This window comes from Homo sapiens, chromosome 8, assembly GCF_000001405.40.
Source record: "Homo sapiens chromosome 8, GRCh38.p14 Primary Assembly".
Classification (NCBI taxonomy): Eukaryota; Metazoa; Chordata; class Mammalia; order Primates; family Hominidae; genus Homo; species Homo sapiens.
This window is the reverse complement of record NC_000008.11, coordinates 131977372-131992806: the sequence shown is the minus strand read 5'-3', so window position 1 is coordinate 131992806 and position 15435 is coordinate 131977372. Positions and strand designations below refer to the sequence as shown.

Below are 15435 nucleotides of genomic sequence, written 5' to 3'. Positions count from 1 at the left end.
ACCTTCCCTAATTAATCTAGTGTTCAACTCAAAGATGCCTGTTTTCTAACCTCTGTGCACGCTGTGGGATATCTGCTTTCTAGAATCATGTCATTACCTGCCCTTCGTCATCCTCTTCACTACAGAGATTATCTTTCAAGGCCTATCTGAACATCACATCGCTTCCTTAAAGTGTTAAATATTACTCCAATTATTTCTACTTGTCCCTCTTTCTTCTGAGCTACAAAAACTTACTACCAGTTATTAATGAACTTCCCTTCCATCATCCTTCACCCTTGTACTACCGTCATGTACACTGATGTCTGACCTATATATCCATACACAAAATTCAGTGAGACTCTGGGTTTTGTATCTCCCATACAAAAGTCATCCAGGTTCTACTGCATGAAGGCTGAAGGTACAGAATCAGTACATACTCAACTGCAACAAAACAGGACACATTGTTTTGCAAGAATTTTCAGGATGAGAATATTTTATATCCTGCATGTGGCTACTGCTGAGTTAACCTAGACCCTGTATTTTTTGTTTTTCCTTCATAATCATATGCTTTGATACAAATAACTGGACATAAAGACATCAATGGAATTGCCACAAAGCAGTATGTGGTCATGCCTGCTGATCTGCTTATAGCATCTAGGTAAATTAACTTTCAAGGTCTCACCGGAAGTGAAAATAAGGGCTTCTCTCAAAGGAGGCTATAAAATAATTTCTGGGTTAATTTATGAAAGCTGAGGGGTTGCAGAAAGAGAGTCATGTTGAAGCCAATAATAAAAAAGAAAAGACAAGTATGGGGGCAGGAAAGGGGTCACTGAGCGGCAAAATCATTGAGAACAAAAAGGAAATATAGTGTTGTCTCAAAGGTGATCAATAATCACCTTCTAGGAAAATCCAAAGGAAGGTCTTAATCAATTTTCTACTTCTCTGAAGCTTCAGCAATTTGTGCCACCTTTCCCTTTGTGGAAGCTCCTCTACCTGCCTTCTCACCCCCCAACTTCCTAGCACCCACATTCCAACATTACCTTACTTTCCTTTCACTTTCTTGAGACTTTCGGCTTTGGAGCTTTACGTTCCTTCCCAACATGGCCTCTCCTCAGGAAAAGAGAACTGTCTAAAGCCATTCCATCCTCTTTCTCTCCATGCCTTCACTGTGAGAAGTCATCCTCCCTGAAGGCTTTAGCAAAATCCCCTATGTTGCTGTTTTTAAAATTTTCATTATAACCTCCTAACCCTCACACAAAACCCAGTCCTATCTCCTAACTGCCTACAAGCTACTTTACTTGCATGTTCCACTGTCAAAGATACTCAACAAGAGGTTTATCTCCAAAACCAGCCACTTTTTCCTATTCATTTCTATTAATAAAAACTCTATCCTTCTACCACCACAGATTCAAAACTACTTATAGAGAGTTTCAGCTGAAATATGTACTTCTTTCCTTCTTCACTTGAACGCAGCTGATATGGTTTGGCTGTGTCCCCACCCAAGTCTCAACTTGAATTGCATCTGAAGAATTCCCACCTGTTGTGGGAGGGACACAGTGGTAGGTAACTGAATCATGAGGGTTGGTCTTTCCCACATTAGTCTCGTGATAGTGAATAAGTCTCATGAGATCTGATCGGTTTATCAGGGGTTTCTGCTTTTGCTTCTTCCTCATTCTTTCTTGCCACTGCCATGTAAGAATTGTCTTTCACCCTCTGCCATGATGATTGTGAGACCTTCCCCAGCCACGTGGAACTGTAAGTCTAATTAAACCTCTTTCTTTTGTAAATTGCCCAGTCTCTGGTATGTCTCTATCAGCAGTGTGAAAATGGACTAATACACCAGCTATATCTGTCATCCCTCCCAGAAAAACAAAACACACACAAAAAAACAAGCAAATGAAATGGTAAGTAAATCCTATGCGTCCCCTCAGTTTTACACCATTCACTCAAGTGCCCAAGCCAGAATCCTGGACAAAATCCCTGGCTTTCTTCTTGTCTCTCCATACCAATCAAATGCCTATAAATTCTCTCTCATAAATTTTTCTAGAATCTACCTACTCTGTATCCTCACTGATGCCTCTTTATTATGGGCCACTGTCATTTCTCCTAAGGATGACTAACATGCCATCAAAATAAATAGTCACCCCATCTCCAGTTTGCAAAATTACAACCAAAGTACTACTTCTAAAATGCAACTCTGATCATGTTATCCTCTGATTAAAATCACTCATGCTTCCCCATTGCCTTCAGAACAGAGTTCAAACTAGTTCACCTTGCTTTACAATTCCTAACTCCACTCCCTGAAGTCTGTTGTTACTCTATATTAATTCACGGAACAAATCCTGTTCTTGCCTACCTCATTCCTTCACACATGTGTTACTACCATATGAAGCACAGTTTACTTGCCTAACACCTGTTTCAAGCTCATCTTAGAGGCTTTTTCCTCTGGAAGATATCCCTGGCCAGCCAAACCTGGATTAAATATTTGTATGTGCTATTGGAGGACCCTAAATGTCCCTAATAATAGCTGAATAGTCATATTACAATTGCCTGGTTATTTATCTTCTTAGAGAAAAATTATATAATGAAATTAACTTATTTCCTATGCACCTAGAATAATACCAAATCAGCTGCTGTGTTTTGTGGTTCAAGTGAACAATACATTTAAGAGAGACTGTGAGCTTTGTGAAAGTAGGGACCTACCCGTCTTGTTCATTCTGGCTTTTGCTTGCACAGCAGCTGGCACACTGGAGGTGCTCGCTTAATACTTAAATAACTGTATGAGTTGACTGAAGCCACTGGTACCTCTGAACGATTCAGATGGGGGACACTACTGTTTTCCCCTCACAAAGCAGTACTTGGCACAGGCCTAAACATACACTATTCATTCGAATTCTAGGTTGATAAGAGATAAGTAAAATACAATAATCAGCTAACATTTATCAACCACATTATGATGATGCCAGGCATCAATAGTTCAATAAACTTTAGGTAGATCATCATTCTTTCTCTAGATCTAGTTATCACTGTGTTTCATTCATTCATCTGCTTTTCCCACTAGATTGTATTCCTTGAGGATAAGAATTGCATCTTAACACCTTTCTACCCTTTGAAAGTTATAACAGTGCTTGATATATATTACATTGTAGGCACTCAGTAGAAATTAGAGAAAGAAATGATAAAAATCAATCTGGATCTTTCTGGATGCCTGAACAATATTTGAGTCCCTGAAAAATAGTGAAATCAAATAATTTATTAAGCAACTAACTGGAGAGGCTGTTAGTGGTGTCACCTAATCATTTAATTCAATTTTAGCCTCACTATACTCATTTGTAAACAAAGATAATGCTATCTTCCTCACCAAACCATTATGAGAATTACATAAGAAAATGAATACTAAGCACTTATCACAGTGCCTAGCACACAGTGCATAATAAATGGTAGCTACTATTGTGATGATGATGGGTACTACATGACACACAACAAACTAAATATGTTCTGCTTTTTATTTTAATACATTGTTCTTAAATCCCTTGAATTTTTTAAATGAATATCTGATGGTTACACAGCAAAAGGAAATTTAATTACAGATTCAGTATCCCATAAAATATCACTGTTTATTCTGTTTCTGCATTAAGGTAGGATACTAATGCCACAGATAGGTTCTAAACTATCAGTCTTCACAAATCAGAAAAATCTAGTAGGATTTCTAGTAGTGCAGTTATACAATTAAGTAGACACTAAAATATTCAGAATTCTTCTAGTCATTGGTAGAGATGCATTATGAGAGAATACATCTTTTTTAGGGATGGGAGGAATCAGGGAAGTGCAGACCATTTGTTAAAAATTTTGAAAGTACCAGAGCTTTCATTAAAAATTGTTAAGAGTTAAAGGAACAGGGTAAAAAGAAATAACAGGGGTAAAAATAAACTAGGGCTATAAGGAAGATAAAGGAAAATAATAATTAAACTAATTATAGAAAATATGCAGGCCACTGGCCCCATTTTCTAAAAGGCACATTTTATTAAGCTATTTTCCTAGAGGACAGGTAAGGGAAAAGGCAGGCCAAACTGACAACTGGATTTACCTTTGTGCTTGTGCCTGGGTTTAAGAGGTTTTTTGCTTGAAGGAAAGAGAGCTAAATTCAAATTATAAGAGTAAAATATTTTAAATGTTTTTTTAATATTTTAAATTATAAAGCTCTAATAATCTTTTGTTCTTAGCACTTTTATTTCCTCAAGGAGTTCCTGAGGAACACAATCTTTTAAAGCATAAAATTTAAAAGAAAATGCAAAAGCACTCATTAACATCTCAGACTGTTATGAACAACTATTACTGTACTAAATGTATATATTTTGGATCCATGTTATTAAAAAAAAGCCATTTACAAAGACTGCACTACTTGTAGTGACTAATCCAGAAATCTTTCTAAGTGAAATCAAATGGTTCTCTTGTAGAACAGAGGTATCCCCAAAGAACTAATTCACTTACAAAATTTAATATTTATATAGTCACCAAATTAAAATGAAAGCATAAGACATAAATTCTTTGATTTTAATTTTTACAGTAAAAGTTGAATACAAGACACTATGCAATTTTGCCTTCAAACAGAATTATTTCAAGCAATGGGAAAATATATAGTTCACAGAGAAAATATATAGTTCACAGAGAAAAAAAAATTCCTAACTCAAAAAGTTTGTAGTTTTATTTATATAACAAGTCTGTACTCTTTCAAATAACGAAAGTTGCCTAATTCATTAACCTAAATAATCACTTATCATTAAACAATTTTCATCAATTTCCATAACTTAAATAGAATATCATTTAATGAGAAAAGATCTCACTTTAAAATATACTATTAAATAAAATATTAAGTATTGTAACAATAAATATTCAAGGACTTGATTTGCTCCTGGTAAAATCATATCTATGTCGTTAGAGATTTACTGAAGGTTTTCAATAGCAAAATTAAAAAACAGAAGTAAATACTCTTAAGCATTTGAAAATGGCTGGGCTATAGTAAGGACACACACCAGAATTAATTTTCATTGTTAACTGGGTAATGAAAAATTTACTATAACATAAGCAATCACCAGAGTGAAAGTTCTAATTATCCTCCTCTTACCTGTTACTTGTGGTACATACGGAACTGACAATCTCTCAACACTATATCCACTTCCACCTAGCGACTCTGCAATCTTGTTGGTCAGAAAGTACAAATCTTTTTCATGCTTCTCTAAAGATTTTGGAAGCCTGCGAAGTTCATCAAAACAACAATCATTCAGTATTAAATTACTGAGCAAAAATAAGTTACTATGCAAAACATTCCAGAGCAAAAGCCTCAATATTCTAAATATAAACACAATGTAAACTGTAGTAGCAGAAAAATCAGTATATTTTAGGCAACTAATTTGAGCTCTTTAAAAACACACAGTATGTGGTCCCATATATTAACCATTCTGCAGTGATTCTTCTCTCAGTAACATTCCAATAGTGAATTCAGCCTTGTATTACTCTGTTGATCTTTACTTGTTAAGTAATAAAGAACACTAAATGTAGCTTTTATTGTCATGTTAATTAAAAAGTGTACTGAGAGACAAAATAAAAAAAAAATCATTAGCCCACTGATTGTTAATGAAAACCACATTAGCCAGCTAAGTGTAAGGAAGTACTTGCCCACCCACATAAGGTTTCACTTTCCTTGCAAACTGCTTGATATTATCTTATGCTGATGCTTTCAAAATAAACTGCTTTTATAGCCCAAAAGTTCAAACAAAATATTATTCATATATATACTTTTCTTTAGAGAACAAGAAATAATGCAGGAAATAACACGGATTTTCCTTAATACATTCTTTCTTCCACAATATTTTGAGTATTGTTACCTATTACTGAACGTCTTCAACAGGATACTGTACTCTCTTAAAGGTTTGATCATTTACATATGAGAACATAAAATATGCTATATTTAAGAGACATATCCAACAGTTTTTAAAAAGTGGGGTAAGTTTTCTTATTCTTTTTTTTTTTTTTTTTTTGAGATGGAGTCTCGCTCTGCTCTTTTACCCAGGCTGGAGTGCAGTGGTGTGATCTTGGCTCACTGCAACCTCCACCTCCTGGGATCAAGCGATTCTCCAGCCTCAGCCTCCTGAGTAGCTGGGACTACAGGCACATGCCACCATACCCAGCTAATTTTAGTATTTTTTAGTAGAGACGGGGTTTCACCATGTTGGCCAAGCTGGTCTAAAACTCCTGACCTCAGGTGATTCACCCGCCTCAGCGTCCCGAAGTGTTAGGATTACAGGCGTGAACCACTGCGCCTGGCCAAGTCTTATTCTTAAAAAATTTTTTCAAGATTGACTCCATGTTGTGCATAAGTCAACATCCATAATGTGCAGGCCCTTTTATAACAAGGGAAATAATTAAATGAATTAAATGACAGACACAAAATGATGATTAGTATAAAGCACCAGGAATTATTGTAACAATATTTACTCCTTTATAATTATTACTGATGGGTTTATCAAGTCAGTACCCCATCCTTAAAATGTAAAGAATTAACATACATGCACTTATCTCTGAAGATATGCTCTGGTAGAAAATAAGGGGCTTCCATAGTTCGAATTTCAATAACCTAAAAAATATTCAAAAACAGAACAAAAATCAAAAACCCTACCCCTCAGTACCTTGCTATAAAAATTCAGAAAACAGCTTAAAAAAAAACAACTTTAAACATTTATAAGAAATAACATCACTTTGTTTTTGAATTTAAGCTAAGTTTACAGCCCAAATGTAAAGTTTGTTTTGTTTTCACATCTATTATTTTTAAAATTTAACAGATAAAACTGTGACAATAAAATAATATATAAAGCAAAAAATGATGACACATTACATTTGATTAAGCCTATTATAATAAAGCAAGAATATCTATTTTCTCAAATGCACTATTTTGGAAATCGCTTTACAAATCACCATCCTCCACCTGCTGCATTACCTTTTGCAGCCTGTGTACAAGGTCTCCAGGCACTTGTGTGGACTGGCTCCTCCAATGAACTGTGAGCAAAGAGGTACTCTGCTTTTGTAGTATTTACTTCTCTAGTGGTGGGCATCAAATATTCACTCAAATGTCTGATTAATGAATGGATGAGTTTTGTTTCTTAGAGTACACTACAAGTCTACATTTTAGCAAGGACTAAATGATGTGCTTCCAATTTAAGAAAAATAAAGTTCTCTCTTACAGATGTCTTTAAAAGTGGACTTTTTCTGCTAGGTAACTTGGGGGCATTGAAATGTTTATTAAGTCATGCAAATAACCATGTAAGAGTTACTGCTAAAGACAACTAAATATATTTGAAAGACACAAGACAATTCTCTGAGATGCACAGTAATTATTCAACTTTTGAGATCTGCCTCAAGTAGTTTAGAATAAACAACAAAAGAGTATAATTTAAGAAAATTTACATACTAAGAGTCATAAGGGTTCAAAGGAAAAAAGTCATAGAATAAATCACATAAGGTATTCTAGAAGAAAACCACATATTCCATTCAACCACTACATTAAACTATTATAATAAAACAACATGCATCTAAGAAAATATAAAAACAGTAGCTACAGTTTTAGCTGTAGTTTCAGTTTACTGGCTGTAGATTTTTATAGAATTACCTTAATTTGATACGTAATCACCAAAGTTAAAAATAATCATCACTGGAATAAAATTAGCAATTTTGTACAAAATTCAAGTTTAAGGACTTTTCTAAATACATTACCTTGCTAACATGCTGGCAAAATGCAGGGACAGCTATCATCTGACTTACAAAGTTGAGGTATGCTGCAACCAGTGCCATGATTCCACAACGATGGAACATTGGCAAATTATCCTCATTGATAATTGCACTGTCCTTTAATAAGAAACAAACACATCAGAGAGATCAAGTTCTTATACTTCACCAGCATTTTCTCTGATTACACTGGAAAACTGCAGGTAGTTTGGAAAGCTAACAAAAATGCCACTTTATCAGAAGTTATTTTCTAAAACAATTCTGAAAGGAAAACAAATGTTCTTTTACAAGAGAGTTAATTTTTCCAACTTAAACTCTCTTCCCTAGGAAAGCCTTTCCTGTTCTCATATATATATACACACACACACGGACATGCATATATGGCCATTGCATACTGTCCTTCTATTACATAACACTTACGCAACTCTAATTAAACAACTGCATGTATGTCATTCTTATTTAATGACTATCCCCCCCAGTGTAGGAAGTGTGGATACAGGGACTATGTTTGTCTGCTTCATCACACTATATCCCTATGGCCTTGAAGGATATTTAGCACACCAGTTGATGCTCATGCAACATATGTAAAAGGAATAAATGAAGAATGTAGTCATAGTCTTGAGTATTTTAGATTTACAACTAGATACCTCCCTTTTAAAATTCATGTCCTTGGATAACGGCAACATTTCAAAGATGTTGTCTGCTTTATAAAAAATGTTTTCTGCAGTGAACGGTTATGAAAGCATACCTGTAAAGCAATGGCCAGTCGAATGAGATCAATAACTACTTCTTCATTAGCCAGTTCAATAGTTATAAGAGCAAGAGAAGTATAAAGTAGTTCATAGTTTTTCTGAACGTTGTCTTCCTCTTTACAACCCAAATATATGTGCCGATACAGCTGTTGCCCATTCTGAGGAGAAAAGACAGAGGACAAAGGTAATTTTGCTTAAAATGTAGAAAAGGCAGATTTCACATGCATATACTTTTACAGTGTAGCTATGTTATTATATAGCTTAACATGGAAATGAAATTTAAGTTGATCAGATAGTCAAATTTCAATTATAAATATCAAACAACATGCTAATATACAACTACAAACTAATGTTAAAGTTGAAGACAAACCTTAAATAAAAATAACCAGTAAAAAATAGTTCCTGTGCTAACAATGAAAATGTTTTTTAATAGTAATTTGAAAAAACAAAAGCAAATTATGGATTGACTTGAGAAAAAAAGTGAAATGGATGGCAGAATCCTGAGACACTTTGGCAATACAGCCTCAGCAATGATAAAGATTATTGTACTGAGAGGAAATGTACTGAGGCTCTCTTGACTGGGGAACAATCCCTGTGCTGTGGGTTAGCCGTACAGAGAAGAGCATCTGCAGGTTCTGTTACATTTTGGCATGGAGTCCCTGAAGGCGAGTCTAAAGCCTATTAACAGAGAAGAGGTTATAGAAACTCCCCAGGTATTGCACAGAGGTTTCCCCTAAACTAGACTGATCTAAGTAAAGATTATTATAATAAAGATTTATTATTTATTATTATAATAAAGATTATTAAAGCCTTTCCTTTCTAAAGCATTCCTGGATACAGGTGCAATGCCACATCCAGTCACAATGGCGACATTAACTCAATTAGCTCTCAACTCTAACTGCCCGCTGGAATCACTGGACAACTGGAATGACCACCATGCTCTTGCCCTCCCCACTTCTCACTACTGTCCACCCTCCTCCAATATGATGTAACTGGTCAGTGGCAAAGCACAAGCATCAGTATTTTTCAAGTATAAAGCTCCCCATGTGGTTATAATAGGCAGGCAGGGTTAAGAACACTCATTTTTTCCCATGTGGAGAGACTTTAGGCTTAATATTCCAAGCCTGTTTCTCAGAAGGTTCTTCTGATCATTTTAGGAGAAGAAACTGGGCGAGAACAGCACAGACTCTTCTGAAGCCAGTATGTCTGTAACAAGTATGCATTCTGCTCTGTTCTCTATTTAATATGCACTGAGGTCCCATCCCCGTAAGGAGGCCTATAGTTCTCCAGCTGTGACAATGACTGACTGGTTAAGTCAGCTTAAATGTGTGTTACAGTGTTAGTAAGCCTTTTTTGGCTACAGACATAAAGCTACCCACCAGATTCCTTTATTTCTGAAGTTGTTATTTTGGTTTCCACCTTTCTGAATCTAGAGTTTGTCTCTCTCGTTCTTTCTCTCTCTCAAACACATAAGGTTTCTATACTTGGGTGGGGTAAAAAAAACTATGCATTGGGTCCTCTCAAAACCTCAGAATATTCTTGAATTCTATGGTTCTAAACATCATTAACAAACATTAAAGTGGTGCATACATACGTGATAATTTAGACTTCAAGTTCCTTAAGTAATTCAAGTTTGTTTTTAAAAATTACCTACTACATAGTCACCATATTAGATGAAATAAAAAATTTGTAATATGTAATGTAAAAATACAAATAGGTATAATAACTTTACAAATTGGTATGGCATTATCTAGTGAATCTGAAGAATACATAACCTATTACTCAGCAATTCCTCTCTTACAGGCCTTGGAGAAATGGGAGTTATATACAGCACAACATGTGTACAAGCATGTTTTTAGGAGCACAGTTCATAACACTCACTAACTGGAAAGAATTCAAATGTCTGACAACAAAAGAAAACTTGTGGTATATTCATATCATGGAATACTATCGAAGCCACACGCAGATGAATTTTACCAAAATAGAGCTGAATTAAAAAAAACCTAAACTTAAAAGAATACACAATGTATGGTTCCTTTCACCCAAATTACAAAAACTGGCAAAACTAAACAATATAGTTCAAGGACATAATGTATATTTAGGTTATCAAACTGTAAAAAAAATTTGAAAGAGTCAATTTCCATCAAAGTCAGAGCAATGATAGTGATTACCTGTAGGGGAGAGGATGGAGTTATGAAGAAGACAGAACATGTGGGATGCTTTTGGTTATACTGTTGTTCACCTTAAAATAATTAAAGTAATAATTCCCATGTATTTTATATTTCATAATAAAAAGTACTCTTTTTGACATAATTCCTTGATTAGGTGAAACATTAACAAGAGCTTTTTCACATGGTGAGAAACTATATAGTGAGTTGTAGACTCAGTGGTGGCAGCTATTTTCTCTGGAAGAATACGCTTCACTAGGAAATTACAGGTGAAGTGATACCTCCCAATGTATAAGGGGTTCCAGCCCTGGAACCGTTTTTCAAACAGACTCCGTATATAAGATGCCCCTAAAACATTCAGATGGAGTAGTTTTAGGCTGGGTAGTAATTTAAGACACAGTTGCCTGAACAAAGTTAATATAGAAAATATACTGTCTATGCTAAACTAGGATTCTCTTAACTAAAGGCCAGTCCATCATCCTGTGCCTACAGAACCCAATTTTTTTTCTTTAGTTCTTTGCAGAAACTTATCTGAGTTGCTAGTTAAGGTTTCATATGAAAATCAAACAACATTTTTACTCATAAAACAAATTGGAAGGTAAATGAAAAATGGTGTCAAATTATAAAAATAAAATTTTGACAAAGGAAAAAAAGTGTGAACACATTGCTTCTAAAGAGAAAGACCCAAAAAGGAATGGTTTACATTAATGACAACAAATGCTTAGCAAGGAAAGTTACTTTAAATTATAAAACAGAGGAATAACTAATTCTGAGAACAGTTTAAGGATTCAAAATCTAACATGAAATAATAGTCTAATCTTGCCGTTAAATTACAGCTTTTCAAATTGGTTGACTAGCAAAATAAACAGAAGTATTATTTCTATAACTTATAATGGATAAAATGAAATCCAGTCTCAATGTTCATGACTGTTTAATGTCATTGCATAAAGTCAAAAACTCAAAAATTAGTTATAAATTGAGTTTACAAAATTCATTATATCAGTAATGATTTAAAATTCCTCAGTACGGAATCAGCCTAAGTGTCCATCAACAGATGAATGGATAAAGAAAATGTAGTGTGTGTATATATATATATATATATATATAAAATGAAATACTATTCAGCCTTACACTAGAGGAAAATTCTTTCATTTTTGACAATATGGATGAACCTGGAGGACATTATGCTAGGTCAAACAAGTCAGTCACAAGAAATACTGCATAATCTCACTTATATGTGGAATTTAAAAGAGTTGAACTCACAGAAGTAGAGAATGGTGGTTAGCAAGAGCTGGGGCCTGAAAGCGAGGAGGAGGGTATGGAGAGATTATTGATCAAAGGTTACAAGGTTTCAGACAGATAGAAGGAGTTAAGTTTTGAGATCTACTGCACAGCAGGGTGACTATAGTCAATAATAGTGTATTGTATATTTCAAAATAACTAAGAGAGTAAATTTCAAGTATGTCACCATAAAACAAGATAGGTAAGCAAGAAAATGGATATGTTAATTAGCTGGATTTAAACTTTCCACATTATATACATATAATCAAAACATATTATATCCCATAAATGTATATAATTATAATGTCAATAAAAAATATTTTAAAAAATTGTTTGAGGTTCCTCAGTTATGCAGAATTCATTAGTTAGGTGATATAAAGAAATACAAAAATAAAAATTGAGAGGAATTAATGTATCTGTCCTATTTATTAACCAGTTTTTTGATATACAGTATAGCCTCATTTAAATATTTTATTCAAGGAATCACATTAATTTAGGAAGAGTGATATTTTGTAAATTATTTTTTAAATGAAGTTTTAAAATGGAGTTAACTTGAAACACAGCAATCAATAGTAATGGTAAAGACAGAAACATTAAAGACAGTGTCAGGGAGAAAGCATGGTCTAGTAAAGAGGCAAAAAAGAACATGGATTACGGGTCTCTACACCTAGCTTCCTACGGGGCTCTGTCTCCTTTTCCTCACACCTCTAAAAACAGGCTCCCTTAGCTGGCAATACTGTGTTCGTTATAAGGGCAGCTGGCAGTGTCATGGTTATCGTATCTCTTAATATTGACTCAGTGTATAGCAAATATTAGGTGCCCAAGCTTTGGACGAATAATAACCGCACAGAAAGTTTACTCAATATGCAAATAACCATAAATATCATAATCTTCTAAATTCAGCCATTTGCCAGTAGATCTACAGAATTTAAATTATCATCATGAAAATCCAGCTAAAACCATTATTGGGGCAGAGATCCTGCCCAACTCATCTTTATATCCCAAATAGTGTAGAAAACAATGTCTAATAAGACAGCAAAAACTCACCATAGTTAATTTATTTGATGGTGATAGCTATTTTCAGAAACTTGAAGCTGTCTATATAAAAGAGCTGCTAAAAGAGGAATCAGTACGTGTGTTTTTAGTGGGAGAGGACTGCCAGGGCAAGAATTATAGGAAGACATTTTACTCAGAGAAGAAATTTAGAACTACTACAGCAGCCCAACAATAGAATGCTCAAATACAGGCTGGAGGAGACACCGACAGGAATGTTACACTTGAGGGAGGCTGAAGATGGCGTCTTGAGGTCTTTCAAATTCAAAATTCTATGGCTTAATTTCAAGGGCACAGATCAATATAAAACCACCTAACAATTCAAACGGCTGTAATTTACACTACACATTTATTTTTTTAGAAGATGTCTTACCTTTTTCATGAAACTTGTGTCTTGTCTGCAAATTTTTTCTCTTTTTATCTTTAGGTCAGCTACATCCGGTATTATTCTAGAGACGATCAATATATCATTTTTAATGAATAGCACACTTATTTACAATATCACATCTTATATGGAAAATTGTATTTATACTTAGGAGTTTGATAAGCCTGTATGTAATGATACTACTGAATTGCTTCTGAAGAGTACATACGTGCCCTCCAAAAATTTGTTATCTTAAAACATATTGATTAAATTATCTCAATACCAATTAAATAAAATTATGGATTAATAAAACCTGAACATGCTAGATTTTTAAAAATCACAATACTTAAATACACTAATTTAGCAATTTAAAAACATTATCATTAGATCCATTTCAAAATGGCACATTACCTGATCCCTCGAAGCTTTGCCCTATTGTCATGACGATCCATGAGATTATGCATTACTTCCAAGACCAACTGTCTCAGTTCGTAGTCCTCCATGAGAGATGGTGATAACAAAGGATCCAGGAAAGACCCTGGCAGTGCAGTAACAATCGTCTTCGCTTTATATCCAGAGGTCACCTGATTATCGAGAAGAAAACAAACAACCTTTTGTCATGAGTCCTTTTTTTGTAAAATTCTCATATTCTTTTATAAGAACCATAAACTTAGGAAAGAAAATATGGACAGAAGCCTGGAGAAAAGACATAAAAGAAATGTGCAAAGTAATGAAGGATTTTGCTGAATTTACAAAAACATCATTCATAAGAAAAATAAAGTTAATAATAGCACACATTTACCATGTGTTAGGCATGATTCTAAGCACTGCATATGTATTAACTTTGTCCTCACCATATCCCTGTAAGGTAGACACTAGTGAATCGCCATTCATAAGGAGAAACTGAGGCACAGAGAGGTTAAGGTTAGTACAAAACAGATATAAGGAGCTTAGGTGACAAAGAGTAAAAGTAAGACCTGCAAATTTTAAATTTAAGTTTGCAAATTATTCTTTCATTTTAAATTAGGCAGTTGGTTAATAGGAATACATTTTCATTTTGGAAAGCTGTACTTAGTTACTTGATTTGACATTTAAGAGTACGTCAATATCTTCTAAACATAAAACTTTTAAAGAGAATATACTTAAATGCTATTAAACATTTTAAGCATAACATATATTCAGTTGACTATATGGTATAATCAGAAAGGCAAGGCAAAATAATTTACTTAGGGAATTTGTTTAATATAAATAAAGGCTTAGGATCAAATTAAATTGCAGGTGGGAGATCTCAACATATTTTCAGGATTATAAACATGTATGGAATACTTAACATTTACATTTGGGCATTTATTATAGGATGGAGATAGTTTTATAAGTCAGCTGGGAAACTGGTGGGACAACTGTCTACCCATCTGGGAAAATCCATGCCTCATACCACATATAAACATAAACTTCAGATTAAAGTTCTAAATGTAGAGAGCTAAAATTTTAAAACTGCTATAAGAAAATACAAACAAATGTGTTTATATCATCAGAGGAGGAATGGAGTTCTTATATAAGATACAAATGAAAAAGTGCAAAACATATAGAAAAAACTGATAAATCTGGCTATATTAGAATTCAAAACTTCTAAATGACAAGCGCCATAAACAGAATTAAAAAAAATTAAAAATACAACCACACAAGGTATTTCTGCACTTGAGAGAGTCTGTTTAAAAAATTAGATCATGTATAGTAAACATTTCTAGGATAAATCTGAAAGATACTGATTTTGAGAGGACGCATATGTGCTAGCAATGGCTGAATCAAATATGAGTACAATTGCTAGACAATAACCAGAGGACCTTTCATTCTGGGTATACTTTTCCTTTTCAGCTACTTATAGCCACTTCAAATTTTAAATGGCAAATATTCATTTTAATGAATTATTTTCCCAATCAGAAGCAATTATTTGGTCAGTATGAGAAAGAATTAGCATAATATGTTGAAAGAACTTTGGATTTCAAGTCTGAGTTCTGTTTTTTAGCCCAGTGACTTTGGTGGACCTTATCAACTCCTT

At 34.1% G+C, this 15435-nt stretch overlaps 1 protein-coding gene across 11 annotated transcripts in view; it reads right to left on the bottom strand.

The window, feature by feature from the left end:
* Positions 1-15435, bottom strand: part of EFR3A (EFR3 homolog A) — a 109550-nt gene that overhangs the window by 20836 nt on the left and 73279 nt on the right. For 10 of the 11 annotated variants that reach the window (NR_136615.2, NR_136616.2, NM_001323555.2 and 7 more), the window contains exons 13-18: positions 13788-13960; positions 13386-13461; positions 8507-8668; positions 7747-7878; positions 6546-6613; positions 5105-5232 (exon numbers count right to left, since the gene is read on the bottom strand). Coding sequence is in view for 9 of the 11 variants with exons in the window: in NM_001323555.2 (NP_001310484.1) it covers positions 5105-5232; positions 6546-6613; positions 7747-7878; positions 8507-8668; positions 13386-13461; positions 13788-13960 (739 nt within the window). In the remaining 2 variants the exon portion in view is untranslated. Of the gene's footprint in view, positions 1-4066; positions 4118-5104; positions 5233-6545; positions 6614-7746; positions 7879-8506; positions 8669-13385; positions 13462-13787; positions 13961-15435 lie in introns of all 11 variants that reach the window. The other variant, NM_001323558.2, reaches the window with a different exon arrangement.